A 15,139-nucleotide genomic window follows, 5' to 3' on the forward strand; every position below is an offset into this window, starting at 1 on the left:
CAGGATCTTTTGCTCCTTAGTTCAGCTGAAATCCAGGTTCTTGTCACACGACCAGGAAAAATTAGGCACGTGGACACATTGAAAAGTGAGGAGAGCAGAATTTATCAAAAGAAAACGCTCAGTATAAAAAAAAAAAAAGCCAGGGGAGACATCCTGCCAACAGTGCCACCTCACAGATTGAATACCAGGCGATCACACACACAAGCTGAAGAGGCCAGGCTCCTCCTGCCCGCATAAGCTTTGAATTCTCGGTGGCTCTACCCCATTCTCCCAATGTGCAAGCAGGCCCCCGGTCCATTGTGGGCATGACCAGACAAGGCCTTGGGTAGTTTCCCTCATCTGCACAAAAGCATCTGATGTAAACACTTTTGGGGTGGGTCAGAGATTCTCTGGGGATCTGCCCTTATCTGCCTACTGCATCTATCATACACGTTTTCTATTCCTTGGATTTTAACTCTTTCTAAGCATTTGGTGGAAAATAGACCAGGCACATGGCTATAGTTATGGCATTTCTTTCATGGCATTTCCTCCAAATTAAGTGTTCTCAATTTTCATTAAAAAGAAATCAAACTTACAGCTGGCAATAAAGTACTAAAATGCTGTAAGCATAAAATGAGTATTTGAAGGAATTTGCCATGTGGCTTGTTTTTCATGTGATGCCATAGTTCATTCCCTTTTTATCAAACATAGTTAATCCAACTACTTTATTTTTCTAAATGAAATTCTATATAAAGTTTACTTTTCCTCTCATTTTGAAACCAGCCCAATTTCCTCATAGAACTGATATTCATGACTTTTTTGAATAAACATAGAAATTGACCCTCCTGGTCCTCAAAAGTGAAACTCACATTTGTCTTATCTGAGATCCTTCCTCGGGAAACTGACCCTCAAGTGAGGAACAGAAACTCATCAGATCACCACATCCAATCATATGCCAGACCCCTCATCCATTGCTTTCTTACTTCTTCCTAGTATTTTTTTCCTGCCTTCCCTGGTATGTAAACCCCAATTTTAGTTTGTCAAGGAGACAGGTGTGAAACTTTACCTCCCACTCTCCTTGACTACTGCACCCAATTGCCTTCTTTCCTGGCAAAACTCATCTCAGTGATTGGCATTCTGTGTGGTGAGCAGCAGGACCTAGACCAAACCCCTGGCATGTTGGTAAGAATTTATTTAAAACATTTCATAATAAATGGAACAGCTATGTCCACTATGTAAATGAGGCAATTAACTCCTTCAAGAAGTTTTCTGTAGTTTATTCTACATTATCAAAATTTATAGCCTATTAACTGTGAATCAAAGATGGAAAGAGGAGGATGAATTGCTCTGAATTGATAAATTTACTCCCTCTAAAGAAGTACATCTAACTGCCGTTATATTAAGGATAAGGATGAAGACAGATTTAACTGCTTCCTGCTGACAGGGGACATTGTTTTGGGGAAACGGCAGTCAGAGCTCCCTCAGAGGCCTATCTAAGGGGTCCCAGCAGAAGAAGCCATTGTCGGAGGCTCCAGTTGCAAGACCATTTGGAGTTTGATGGCCTGAAAGCAAGAACAGACAAACCGGATTATTAGAAAACATATATCAAAACGAAACAAAACAAGGGGAGGAGTAAGAATGGCTCGAAAATTCCAAGGCCTTTTATCAGTTTGCACAGGGAGAGGCAGGCGAAAAGCCCTACTAGTAAAAAAAAAAAAAAATTACCCTTTTGCAGGCATGTTGGGCTCCTGGGTTCCCTTCCCCTGAGCCCAATCCTAAAACTACTAGTTTAACGTTTGGGAAATTAACCTTTTCCACTTTAAAGGATGTATCTGAGGGGAGTGTCCCATAGTACAGAGATACAATTACCTAACTGAGAGGAGTATCTCATAGTATGGAGACACAATTACCTAACTGTGAGGAGTATCCCGTAGTATGGAGACACAATTACCTGACTGTGAAGAGAGAACAGAGGAGAAGAAAGGAAAAAGAAGGCATTTTTAAAGGAGTCCCAGGGGTCCAGGATGCATTTGAAAGGGGCACAGACTGAAGTTGAATGGCTTGCCATTGAGAAAGAGGGGAGCAGGTGTCCCTGACTCCCTTCTCTTCCTAGCAGATACCCAGGGTATGTGAGGGAGAGAGGGAAGAGCAACCTTTTTCCCTCTTCCATCTTTGCATCCCTGAGTCCCGGTGACATTGGCAGGTCCTGCCAAGAGTGCCAAAGCGGCTTTCACCCCTGAAGCAGGGGAGGCTAGAGAATAGGAAATGTCCACTCTAACCTATGTCTCTTTCCCACCTACTGTCAGTAGCCTTGGAGTTCCCTAGACCTCATTTATGCCATGGATATCAATGTGGCCTTTATCCATGAACCAGGAAGCTTGGGGTTGCCTTAATCAGCAGGAACCAGCCACACTCACCTGCATTCTGCCTCTTAACTTCCACTATCATCTGCCTCTGGATCCCTCAGATCCAGTTTTCTTTCCTAGGGCTTTGACCTGAAGCTTGGAATTGAGTCTAGGACAAAAACATGTCTCAGAGGAGTTGCATGGACTCCTTATCATAAGTTAAATGCTAAGGTGAAAGTGTGGAACTGAGTCCTCCTCCAATAAGGGAGAGGAAAGAATGTCTTGTGACATACCCAGCTAACTGGTGGCTACAGTTATGTTGCTAGGATTTGGGTGCATGCTGCTTGGCTTTGGTTAGCTCCCTTTGTCTTACTTTCCCACAAAAGAAACCTTCCGTTGATGGGCACCCTATTTATTCCCATCACTTGGCAGGATTTGCAGGATAATTGCTCAAAACTATAACATTGATCCAGATTTTCACGTTACCCATCCCTCTTGTTCTTTCTGACCTGAAGCCAGACATTGCTGGTTGCTTCACAAGAACATGCAGGATTAGTCTAAGATGTAAGCAAAAACTTCAAAACAACGAGTGATCTTAGAATTTAATAACAAATGTATAAGCTTTGAAATCTAGTTCTCTCTCTGCAGTCCTCATTTTTGTTAAAAAAAAAATCATCCTAAGACTGAGTTTTTTCCAAAATAGACTTTAGTTTTATGCTTGGCCTGATTGTTTGCATAAAGTGCAGCAAGAATAACTATTTCTACATAGGCTTTTTGGGTTGGCTTTGATGGAAATTTGTTCCACAAGGACTCTCAGATAAGACCTTTTAAAGCCCAGCCCAGTCATGGGTTTGCATCCTCAAAACCCTGTGAGTTGGGTGATCCTCCCTTCTTAAGGTCCCAGGATAAACTTGGAGCTTCTAGACCTGTTAGAAAGTGACATTCTTTACTGACCACAGGTCAGGAACCCTGTACAGGGACTGAATAAACAAGGGTATGAGGCCAGTTTCCCCACTGGACTTTTATTGGCTCTGCAAGTCGAGATTGACTCCTTAAAGGCAAGCTTACCCTTCCAGTCAAAGTGTTGGTAAAATAAACACTTTCTCCAATTGTGTCCTGTTGCAAAAGAAAAATGGATTCTTATTGCACTGATGCAAACAACCATATTGCCATAAGTTAAGAACACTCACAGATAGTTTCCAAATTCTAGAGGAACCAGGCAGAGAGAAAAAAAAACATGCTCCAGGTCTTGATTACAGGAGTATACACCTTATTTAATTATTAAAGGCCGTAAATAATTCAAAATAATGTTGACTCTGCAAAACAAAACAAGGATCAATAATATTCCAAGCAAAGGTTAAAAAGGTTGCTTCAGCTTTCTGAGTTCAGTTTATTTAGTTAACTCATGTTTTGCTTGACATTCGTGAACATTTCAGCTCTTCATGACCCCTGTACAGTTTTCTTTATTCCAATGTCACAATCTCTAAAGTTATCAGAGATCTGTATTTAAGAGCACTTGTCAAAGTTCTATAGCTTATTATAAACCATCTTTGAAAAGGATTAAAACAAGACAACAATTGTCTGTGAATAGCAAAATGTCCAGGGTAGTTACACTTAGAAACACAATTGACAAAGAAGTTTGGTTATTTCCGTGGTTTACATTAACCTAACATAACAACTTTAATTATGAGTGATAGCATACACTCAGACATTAGAATTATAGAAATCCCATACAATTTTAGAGCATACATTAGCTTTATTCACCAAGATATAACCTAAAAAAGATTGAACAACATTTTGGCAATCCCATGTACCTAAACATGTCAAATAATCCTGTTTACTTCATTTTTCTGGACACTGTAGGGGCCCTCTGAAGTATTAGAAAAGCCAGGTGCCAGGGAAGCCTACTTGGAAACTGAATTTTGATTTTGGGAAGGCTGTCAAATATGTTCAAGATTTAAAACACTGATAATATGAAATAGAATTCCAGATTACCATAAATTATTTATTTTGCCAAAATGATGACTCAGAAATTTTAAAGAAGCAAAAACCTTTTATAACCCTTTACAAATTTTGCCAAAGAGCAGATTAGCACCATAGGAAAACCTTGTTATGATTTTATTTCAATGCTCAATTTACAGAAAAATCATATAATATCCTTCTTGAATGTGGCCAATATGTTCACAAAGAGAACCTCTTCTGCAAAATTAATTTTCACAATTCTTCCACCACTTCCTTGAACCTTCAGCTTTTTCCTATTTTATCTCAAAACAATCCTTTATCCCGAGGCCAAAGTTTACATTTCCATGCCTTCTTATAACCTTTTGCAAACAAAAACACATTTTACTGTTCTTACATACCTTGCTTGTAAATCTATTTTCAGTAGTTTCCACTAATGCCTAGCAATTTTTAACTTTAAGGTAAAACCTGGTAAGTTACTTTAATTGAGTGCTAAGTGTAGCCAAGGTTTGCCATTTTTTTTTTTTTTTTTTGAGATTTAGTCTTACTCTGTCGCCCAGGCTGGAGTGTAGTCACACAATCTCGGCTGACTGCAACCTCTGCCTCCTGGGTTCAAGCAATTCTCCTGCCTCAGCCCCCAAGTAGCTGGAATTACAGGTGTGCACCATTGCGCCTGGTTAATTTTTGAATTTGTAGTAGAAACGAGGTTTCATCATGTTGGCCAGGCTGGTCTTGAACTCCTAACCTCAAGTGAGCCACCCACCTCGGCCTCCCAAAGTGCTGGGATTATAGATGTGAGCCACTGCGCCCAGCTGGTTTGCCTTTTTAATGTTAGAAACAAGTGCTCAGTGCCGGGCAACCCGCTCGGGTCCCCTTCCACACTGTGGAAGCTTTGTTCTTTCGCTCTTTGCAATAAATCTTGAAAGAAAAAAAAAAAAAGAAAGAAACAAGTGCTCAGTGCCACAAAGAAGAACCAGCATTGAGACAAAGGATTTCTCAGCAAGGCAATTTACTTCTGTAGAAAGGTGTTGCCTGCATCAGCCACCATCGCAAGAGCACACTGAACAAAGGAGAGTAAGGGTTTTTATTCCTAATGCAGTCCCTGCTTCTGTATCATTCCCCATTGGCTGGAGTTAGACCACACAACCTAAATTAGTCCCAGTTGGCTAAACACTTAAACTTTCTATATAAGGTAGACACGTGTTGGGGGAGAAGGAGGGAAGGGAAGAGGTCTGCCTGTGGAGCACGAGAAGGCTAAACTTTTTCTGAATAAGGAAAGGAATGTAGAGTGAGGCTGAGACATGTCTGGGTGTGTCAGGGCACAGCAAGAACAGGAGGGCTGTTTGCAGGATAGAAGCAAGAGAGTACAAGAAGTTTTGGCCTCTGAACAAAGAACAAGGACATTACACAATTAAACCCTTTGAAGAGGAATTTATAATCTCTGGCAATTTCCCTCTTTGTTTTTTTTTTTAATAATTCCTCCTCTTCAAATTTTTCTAACATAATTTGGCTTTGCTGTTCTTCTTGATCACCTAGGAATAAGAATATGGAGAAGGAGATGTAGGGGAGGTTTTTGTGAGAGCTGTTTCTATAAGCCTTTGTACTAGGCCTCGGGCACAGAATACAATATAATATCCTACAAGAATAAGCACACCTATTATAACAGCAAAAGAAGTAAGGATTGAGGACATAAGTCCTTCCCATCTGCTGAAACATTTTTCCATTAAATTAGTGAAGGGATCATTTATTCCTGAATTCTTAGCTAGTTCATTGGATAAAACAGGAAGACATTGTGATGCTTTTGTTATGGTTCCACTGGAAGCAGTATTATTAGGTATAAAAGTAGAATATTGAGTTCCAATCATGACACAGACCTCACCCTTATCTGCTAGTATCATATCTAATGTTATTCTATTTTCCCAAGCCATTTGGCTGGTGGGTCCTAACTGTTTAGCTGTTCATTTAATAGCATCTTTAGTATAGTTAACAAATTGTTGCTGGTTGTAATAGATGTAATTTATCCAATTTACATTTTTATTTATAGTTAACCACCAGAATAGTAGGGACTCAAACCCAGCAATTATTTGATTTTGGGACTTAAATTCATCTGGGACTCCTCTCGGGACTCCAATGGCATCTATATAAACATGAGGGTCAAAGGACCCATGAGGGACATCTCTTGTTTTATGATGCTTTGTTTTTATCCTTTTTGGTTAATGAAATGCCAGGGTGAAAGGGATGGCCAGTTGGATCAGAGTGCAAGTGCTGCTCTGCTCCAGCTACTTGGCAAAGTGTTCAGCAATGGTCCGTCACAATACTACCATACATCCACTTGGCAATGGATCAGGGCAGACTGATTGGTTAGCTCTTGGAATGACTTAAGCTCACTGCATCCCTTTAGGTCTCCCAGAAATGCTAAGTTTTCTCTCTGTCATGAGAGACACAAGGTAAAACTGGCATCAGGAGATGGAAGCTGGATGGACCTCGGGGACTGACCCACAGGGTGCTGGACTTTGGGGAATAGCAGAGAGAGAGCTCCGCATGATTCATGACCCCAGGCTGTGGGGTGTTGGGAGAGAGCTACCTTACAATTTGTGCCTGGTCGGCTGGAGGACCATACGAGTGGAAACGGGATGATTTAGGCCTCTGGCCTGCAGTGCACGCAAGTGTAACAATCGTTTTTGTTTAGACTGCAGATGGAATATTTAATCCTTTCCAGCCAGGCATTTGCATCTTTGTACCCCATCTCTAGAGCTATGGTCTGCCTTAAATCTTTTACCTCTACAACCATTACCTTAGTTGGGTGGTTCTAGAGATGGGAGGAGAGCGCTGAGCCTGATATGTTTGGGCACAGTGTTGGGTCCCACATGTTCTCCAGACTCTGGGTCTGGATTTCTTTATTGTTCTTAGCTGATGCTCTAGCTAACCTCAGAGAGAAGATTCCTATGGGGTCTCGTCCTGTAACATTTGCTCCTAACCAATACCATTCAAATATGGAGGGTTCTTGGGCCATTGTTTGGAGATTATCTATAATTAGCAATAAGGGGTTACACTGCAATGACTTACAATTTGGTGGGGTGGGACCATGAATAAGTTGGAGTTTCTGTTTTAGTCCTTGCAACTACTTTGAAAAAGGGGGCCTGGCTGTCCACCGTCCATGTTGGGTGGTCTGCCAAACATCTGTCCAGTCACCACAGGGACTTTTTAAGGCTCCATACTTATACTTGGTTGACTCAATACGGTATGGACATAAATACTTATCTACATTTGATAGCTGCCTTTGAGCTTGTTCATCTCCACATGAGATAACTGAACAAGCATCAAACTCGAGGGTTAAGGGATGATTAGTTTGAGTCACATTGATGACGAGGTGACTTTCTGCTGGAAAGAAAAGGGAAAATAAACAAGTGATTATTAAGCCCTTTTTAGAGTTAGTTTGGTGAGGGTAGGCCGTAGGATAACGGCCCATTTTTCTCTGATTGTGGAAGTGTCTCCTTTCACTCACATGTGGTGTGTCCATCTCCTTTCAGCTGTGCGGTGCTTTCTATAATCAGGAGCACTAGGTAGGGTCCTTCCTAAGCTGGTTCAAGTTTTCCTTCTTTCCAGCTTTTGATGAGAACGTGATCCCTAGGCTGGTGCTGATGTGCAGGGAACACCAAGGGTGGCGTCTGTGCTAATAGGCCTTTAGTTCAGAGACAAGAGAAAGTGGAAGACAGTCCACGTACATAGCTTTTGAGGAATTGGTCTTTAGTTTCAAACATAGGAATATCAGCAGTGGAGTGTAAATAAGGCAACCCATATAGTATTTCATAAGGAGATAAGCCAATATATTTTTGATGGGCAGTTCAGTTTCATAACAAGGCAATGGGGAGGCATTTAGTCCATGGGAACCAAGTCTCTAGGACTAATTTGGTTAGGTGGTTCTTCGGAGTCTGGTTCATTCTTTCTACTCTTCCTGATAAAGATGGGTGCCAGGGGGTATGGTATTCCCATTTTATTTCTAATACTTGGGCTTTTTCAAAACATGTACAGTGAAATGAGTCCCATTATCTGACTCAACATTTTCTATTAATCCAAGCTTAGGTATAATATTTTCAGTTAATGCCTTAACTACATTATTAGCAGTCACATTTGAAAAGGGAATAGCTTCTACCCGGTAAATGAGGTGATCCACTATTACTAATAGGTATTTCAGGCAACCGATTGGAGACATTTCTGTGTGATCAACTTGAACACTTTGAAATGGTGTTAGTCCTGGATTTCTTCCCCCAAGTGGTGATTTTCTTGGAGCCCACTTATTAGTTTTGTTTTTTTTTTTTTTACATATTAGACAGCTATCTCTAACTTGTTTGGCTAGGGTATAAATTCCTATACACCCATAAACTGCTGTGTCACACATAGTTTGGGGTCCCCAGTGGGCCCCTTGATGCAGCTGAGACAAGATTTCCCTCATGAGGGGTTTCGATAATATTTCCCTTTGATCTGGTAATACCCATTTTCCTTCTTGGTTTTCTGTAGCTCATATTTTGATTAATTTTTCCTTTTCATTGGGAGAGATAATGGGGACTGCAATAGGGGGAGGAAGACAAGGGGTTAAGTGAAAAACAAGCACTTCAGAGGAAATAGCAGCCTGTTTGGCTACCTGATCTGCAAGGTTATTTTTCTGACTTTCAAAGGAAAAGCCTTTTTGCTGTCCTGGAACATGGACAATAGCTATCTCTTTGGGTAACTGGAGAGTATTTAGTACTTGGGTGATTAACTCTTTGTGGATGAGATCTTGGCCTTTGCGGTTAATAAGACCTCGTTCAGTCCAAATCTTCCCGAAGGTATGAGCTACCTCAAAGGAGTACTTAGAATCAGTATAAATGGTCCCTTCCTGGTTTTGCAAGCATTTTAAAGCCTGGCTTAATGCAAGCAGTTCACAAGTTTGGGCAGACCAATTATTAGCCAATCTTCCTGACCCGATTTCTACTAAAGCTTCTCCATCTATTATTGAATACCCATTATGTCTTTTTCCCTCAATTACCTGGGAGGAGCCATCTATAAACAAATACCACCCAGTTTTGAAAGGTGTGTCTTCTAAATCTGGTCTGACTTTTGTGTGGTAGTTCATTAAATCTAAACATATGTGTTCTCTTTTTAGGTTTGGATACCCTGTTAAGAAACCTGCTGGGTTGAGTGAGTTATCAGTGGTTAGTGTTAAATCATTTCTTTCTATTAGAATAGCTTCGCATTTTAAGATGCTTGAGTCAGTGAGTCACCTCCCTGCCTTTTGGTTTAAGATAGTTCTAACTTGATGGGGTAAGCTTACCACTAATTTTCCCCCAAAGGTTAACTTCCTGCTTTCTTCAGTCAGTAATGTGGTTGCTGTGATAGACTGAATGCATTCAGGCCACCCACTTGTACTAGGTTTAAAACCTTTGACAGGAAGGCTACAGGCTGCCTGTGGCTTCCGTGTTCCTGGGTAAGTACCCCTAAAGCCACCCCATTATTCATGTTAACAAAAAGGTGGAATGGTTTTTCTAGGGAGGGTAAAGCTAGAACAGGGGCAGTTATAAGCATATGTTTTAATTCTTCAATTTGATGAATTTCTTCAGAAGTCCACAGAAGATGGTCAGGTTTCCACTGGGTAAATTTTTGGTATAAAAGTTTAGTTTTTAGAGCATATGAATGAATCCATAAGCAGCAATATCCAACTAATCCTAAACATTTTTGGAGCTTCTGCTTAGTTTGAGGCAAAGGTAAGGATCTGATTCCTTCTACTTGTTCGGGTCCCATCCTTCATTTGCCTTTACTTATTAAGTGCCCTAAATATGTAACTTCACGTTCTACAAACTTGAGTTTTCCTTTTGAAACTCATAGTCCTTCCCCTTGTAAATGGTTAAGAAGGTGTGTAGAGAAGGCAGCTACTTTCTCTACATTTTCACCAGATATGAGAAGATCATCCACATATTGGAGCAGACATATGTGTTTTGGGGTATGAATTTATTCTGAAACCTGTTCTAAATTTGGCCAAAAAGGCTAGGGGAATCTGTGAACCCTTGGGGCAAAACTATCCATCAGTACTGTTGTTTCTGTCCAGAATAAGGATCTTCCCATTCGAAAGCAAATATGTCCCGACTGTCCTCAGCCAAAGGACAGGCCCAAAAGGTATCTTTTAAGTGTATTACTGTAAACCATTGATGGTCACGTGGGATTTTGCTGAGGATGGTGTAAGGGTTAGGGACAAAAGGATAAGTCATCTGGACTAATTGGTTGACAGCTCTGAGGTCTTGTGCTAGTCGGTATGACCTGTCTGATTTCTTTACAGGCAGTATTGGGGTGTTAAAAGAGGACATGCAGGGTTCAAGAAGCCCGTCTTGAATGACGCTTTAAATTACGGGCCTCAAGCTTATTCTGCCTTCTAGGGGAATGGGATATTGTTTTCTTCTTACTACCTCCCCAGCAGTTTTCAGCTTTATGTGTTTTGGAAGGACTTGAGGTCTTCCTTGATTTTCTTCTCTTGACCAGACATCAGGATGGATGTGTCTTTCACCCACACTGGTAAGTAGGTTTAGTGAGGTGAGGAATCCCTCTGGGCCAACATGTAAGCTGATGCTTAGTTCTAGCATTAAGTCCCTTCCTAACAGGTTAATTTCTGCTTCCAGGATTAATAGAAGCTTCATATGAGTTGATCGGTTTTTATACTGACTTCTGTTTCTTCTAAGATTTTAGCTTTAAATCCTTCTCCCTTTACCCCTGAGACAGAAAGTTCTGAGGAGCAGGTGATATCAGATGGAGGGAAACAGAGGAGCGGGCTGCTCCTGAATCTACTAAAAACGTTATGAGTTCATATTTGGGTCCCACCTCTAAGTTTATCAAGGGCTCTTGGTGGGACTTGAGATAAAAGAGACAGAGCCCCTGGCCCCCCCTATTCTTCCTCAAAAGTCATGAGTGGAAGGACTTCTTTTTATTTTTCCCATGCGGGACATTCCCTCTTAAAGAGACCTGTTCTTCCACATTTAAAACATCTATTCTGTCTTTTCTCTGTTTTGGGATTCTTTGGCTTGGCCCCCCTGTGTTCTTTATAGGGTCTGGCAAATGAGGTCCCGGATCCTTTAATAGGGGGCTTGAAGCCTCTAAATGGAGGTTTGGGTCATTTATAGATTTTGGCCCCCTGGGGGCTTTGTTTAGAAATGTATTGATTTGGAGCCCCCTGTTGATAGGTGGATAGCATGAATTTTGCTTTCACTTTTTGCTTTTCTTCGTATCTTCTCACATATACCTTTTGAGTTTCTCTGAGAAATTCACTTAGAGGATGATCTTTCCAATCCTCTATCTTTTGTAATTTCTTGGAAATGTCTGCCCAACTATTAGTAAAAAAATGAAGCTTTAACATTCCTTGTCCTAGGGGATCTTATAAATCTAGGCCTGCTTATTTTTTCATTTGCTCCTTTAATCTGTTTAAGAATTCTATAGGCTCTTCATCCTTCCCCTGTTGTGTGCTGAGTGTCTGAGACAGAGTCTGAGTCCAGGGTACTTATTCTTGAGTTCTTTTTATCATCATCTCCCTCAGGTCTTGCAGGTTTTTCCAGTGAGCTATGTTGTTATTGTCCCACCAGGGATCTTGGGCACGGAATTCCTCGTCTGCTGTAGAAACGTTTTAACTGGGGGGTGTTCATGTTCTCAAACTACCATAGTGGCCCTAAGGATCATGCCCCTTTCTCTCCCTGAAAACAGGATGCCCAGGATGGGCATTAACTCAGCCCAAGTATATAACTGGGGTCCTAGAAATTGATCACCGACCTGATCTGCCACTCGATGAGGGTCATCTCACAGCGGCTTGAGTTCTTTTTTAAAGCCTGGAACTTCTGAACTGGTTAGAGGAGCATTTATGAAGCTGATGGCACCCCCTCCCTGCAGCACCTCTTTTAAGGGGCAGAGAGTCAGAGCTGATTCCCCAGGGATAGGGGATAAAGGGAAGTTTTGAATATCCTTTTTACATTGCTCTACCTCACGTTGGAGTCCTTTTAGAGAAGAGTATTTAGGCTGGTAAGGAGCTGGCTCATGGGATGATAATTCCCAAGAATTGGGGTTGTAAGGGGTGGGGAACAATGTGAGCAGGGGAGGGATCTGGAGTGGGGTCTGAGGTGGCAACAGCTGCTTGAGGGGGAGAATTGGGGGTATTGAGTGGAGGAAGATGGTCTAGGGGATCCCATGTGTTGATGGGCTGTCTAGGAATAGGGACCTTTTCTCTTTCAGAGCAGTAAGATTCTAGCTTGCTCCCTCTGATTTTTAGAGGGTAAAGGAGGACAGGTCCTTGCCTCCAACAAAGAGCATACTCTATATCCTCCAGAGACACAGGGCTTTTGTCATTAATATGTTCCATTAAAAGTTAACAAATCCATTCTTCACTGGACCCAAATTTTGGCCAGAAAATTGAGGGTTTGAGGATTGGCTCTCGAGCCCAAATGAAGCAAAAATACTTTATCATTTGCTGCTTTCTTTTATGTTTGGTTCTTTTATTATCTTACCAATATTTTAGCATAATCCCTAGGCAACTATCAGGAGGAATTTCATCATCTGCCTGGCTCTTTATTTTCCCTGTCTTATTTGAAACATTTCCCATCTTGGAGGTTTGGTATGGTGTCTAACTGGAGCAGGCTTTTTCCCTGGAGTTTTCAACCTCCCCTCTATTGGAGGTTTCTAATGCTTCTGGGTGTGTGGGGGCTCAACCTCTCCTACTAGAGATTTCTTGCCCTCCCTTCTTCTAGAAGCTGTGTGTGAGTCTCAATCTCTCCTACTAGAGATTTCTTGCCTTTCTTCTCCTAGAAGCTTAGCTCCCCTTTTACTGGATGTTTCTTGCAATCTTCTCCTTTTGTTTTGTACTCACTCAGCACAGTAGTAGTGCTCGTTACCATTCACACACTTTCAACCTCCAAGATATCCCGACCTCCAAGGAAATACTTTATTGCCCCTGCAACATTTCTTACCTTGTCCTGTGCATAGAGTTACCTGGTTGCCGTGGTAGGTAGGTAAGAATCCTTTCCACCCACGTTGCTGAGAGTGTGGGTTTATTCGTCATGCTGGGGGAGGTCCTGATCCCTTTCCCTCTGAGGCCAACGCAACGAGAGAGTGTGACGCATCTCCTCATGGGAGATGATCTGGGACCCTTCCCCAGAGGAGAAAGGGTATCCCTGATGAGCCCCTATGATTGTTAGAAACAAGTGCTCTGTGCTGCAAAGAAGAACCAGCACTGAGACAAAGGATTTCTCAGCAAGGCAATTTACTTCTGCAGAAGGGTGCTGCCTGCATCAGCCATGCAGCACACTGAACAAAGGAGGGTAAGAGTTTTTATTCCTAACACGGTCCCTGCTTCTGTGTAGTTCCCCATTGGCTGGAGTCAAGACCACACAACCTAAACTAGTCCTGATTGGCTAAACACTTAAACCTTCTATGTAAGGTAGATGAGTGATGGGGGAGAAGGAGGGAAGAGAAGAGGGCCACCTGTGGAGAATAAGGCTAAACTTTTTCCAAATAAGGAAAGGAATGTAGAGTGAGGCTGACATGTCTAGGCATGTCAGGGCACAGCAAGAGCAGGAGGGCTGTTTGCAGGCTAGAAAGAAGAGAGTACAAGAAGGTTGAGCCTCTGAGCAAAGAACAAGGACATTGCACAATTAAGCCCTTTGAAGAGGAATTTATCCTCTCTGGCATGAATTAATGGTGTGATTAGTTCCATATGTTGCCAGACCTTACCAGTTGTGAAGCCAGCAAGTCCAAGAATTCTCAAAACCCCAAAAGTAGTTTATAACCTTAAAACATTTAGCAAACCTTGACTCCAACCTGCATAATTTAGCTCACCTATTTACATTTTAGTGACACCTGCATTTTACCAATAATTTTTAAGGCTGTTTTTATTTCTCAAAGATTAAAGTCATGTGAACTGAAAGTACCACAGCTTTTATCTTCCCCTTAAAAAAATACTTGATCCAAGCACTTTTCTTTAGGACAAATTAATTAGAGCTCTTTTTGTAAACATCACACACAGTATACACACAGACAGGCAGAAGAAAACCCAGTCCCTGGGCCCATTTTTTTTAAGAGACAGGGCTAGGAGAACATGTAGATATCTAACCTGATAGGGTTAGATATCTCATCACCTAAGGCAGGGCTGCTAAACAAAGCCTTGTCATGCAGTTACTGGCCATGCCCCCAGGATGTAAAGCAAGATGGAGGCCTGCAACACAAACCATACAGACATGCAAAGCACACCAGATTGGCTATAGCCCAAGACTAGCCCCACAAATCCTTTTTCACAACAAAAACTTTAGAGAGTACAAACAGTGATAGTTGGGGGGCCTGGCCTTGTAAAAATGTCCTCTAAAAGGAAAAAAAAATGTAAAGGTTAACTGCTGATGGGGTAGAAGAAGGGGATAAAAAAATCAGTTTAAAATGCCTGGGGAAGAACCTCTTATTCTTATGAAAGTGGATGCTCCACCAGGGGAAAAGCTTAATTTTCATCCAATAAAGCTGAAGCCCTTGGGTGGGGAAGGGGAAGGCTGTGGTGGCTTATGGCTGGGAGCCAGCCAGCTGGCTCTGCAGGACCCTTAGGCCGTGAGTCCCAACCCCTGCATGGAGGGGAGGCAGAGTGAGGAGACCCCACTTGCCTGTCCCTCTTGAAAAAGGAAGAAAATGGCCTTTCCCCTGACCCTTAGAGTGACAGGGTTTGGGGGCATGTTTCCCCCACCCTCAGAAGCTGGAGGATGAAAATAGGAGCGACAGTGAGAGGTTTCGAGTCCTCATTTCATTCGCCTCTTCTCGAGCACCCATGTTATGTGCCAAAATTGTTGCAGGACTTTTCCTTAGTTCAGCTAAAG

At 41.9% G+C, this 15,139-nt stretch overlaps 1 protein-coding gene across 7 annotated transcripts in view, besides 3 other annotated features; it reads right to left on the bottom strand.

Moving 5' to 3' along the window:
* Positions 1–15,139, bottom strand: part of CLEC2A (C-type lectin domain family 2 member A) — a 54,629-nt gene that overhangs the window by 19,694 nt on the left and 19,796 nt on the right. For 3 of the 7 annotated variants that reach the window (XM_047428830.1, XM_011520654.3, NM_207375.3), the window contains one exon: positions 1,241–1,541. The exons of the other annotated variants lie outside the window; for them this stretch is intronic. In XM_047428830.1, coding sequence (XP_047284786.1) covers positions 1,469–1,541 — 73 coding nt within the window. In that variant the 3' untranslated portion in view covers positions 1,241–1,468. Of the gene's footprint in view, positions 1–1,240; positions 1,542–15,139 lie in introns of those variants that run through there. 7 annotated transcript variants of the gene reach the window in all.
* Positions 1,685–2,239: an enhancer, noted in NCBI's record as "OCT4-NANOG hESC enhancer chr12:10051719-10052273 (GRCh37/hg19 assembly coordinates)". NCBI's record gives its function as "activates a minimal SCP1, AML or CMV promoter by ChIP-STARR-seq in primed H9 embryonic stem cells {active_cell/tissue: H9 hESC(primed)}" and the evidence as "EXISTENCE:reporter gene assay evidence [ECO:0000049][PMID:30033119]".
* Positions 3,062–3,262: a silencer, noted in NCBI's record as "peak1567 fragment used in MPRA reporter construct". NCBI's record gives its function as "represses an SCP1 promoter by STARR-seq MPRAs in K562 erythroleukemia cells {active_cell/tissue: K562}" and the evidence as "EXISTENCE:reporter gene assay evidence [ECO:0000049][PMID:32103011]".
* Positions 12,735–13,934: an enhancer, noted in NCBI's record as "MED14-independent group 3 enhancer chr12:10062769-10063968 (GRCh37/hg19 assembly coordinates)". NCBI's record gives its function as "activates an origin of replication core promoter dependent on BRD2, BRD4, P300/CBP and CDK7 cofactors, and independent of MED14, by STARR-seq in HCT116 cells {active_cell/tissue: HCT116}" and the evidence as "EXISTENCE:reporter gene assay evidence [ECO:0000049][PMID:35650434]".

This window comes from Homo sapiens, chromosome 12 (genome assembly GCF_000001405.40).
Source record: "Homo sapiens chromosome 12, GRCh38.p14 Primary Assembly".
In the NCBI taxonomy this organism is placed as follows: Eukaryota; Metazoa; Chordata; class Mammalia; order Primates; family Hominidae; genus Homo; species Homo sapiens.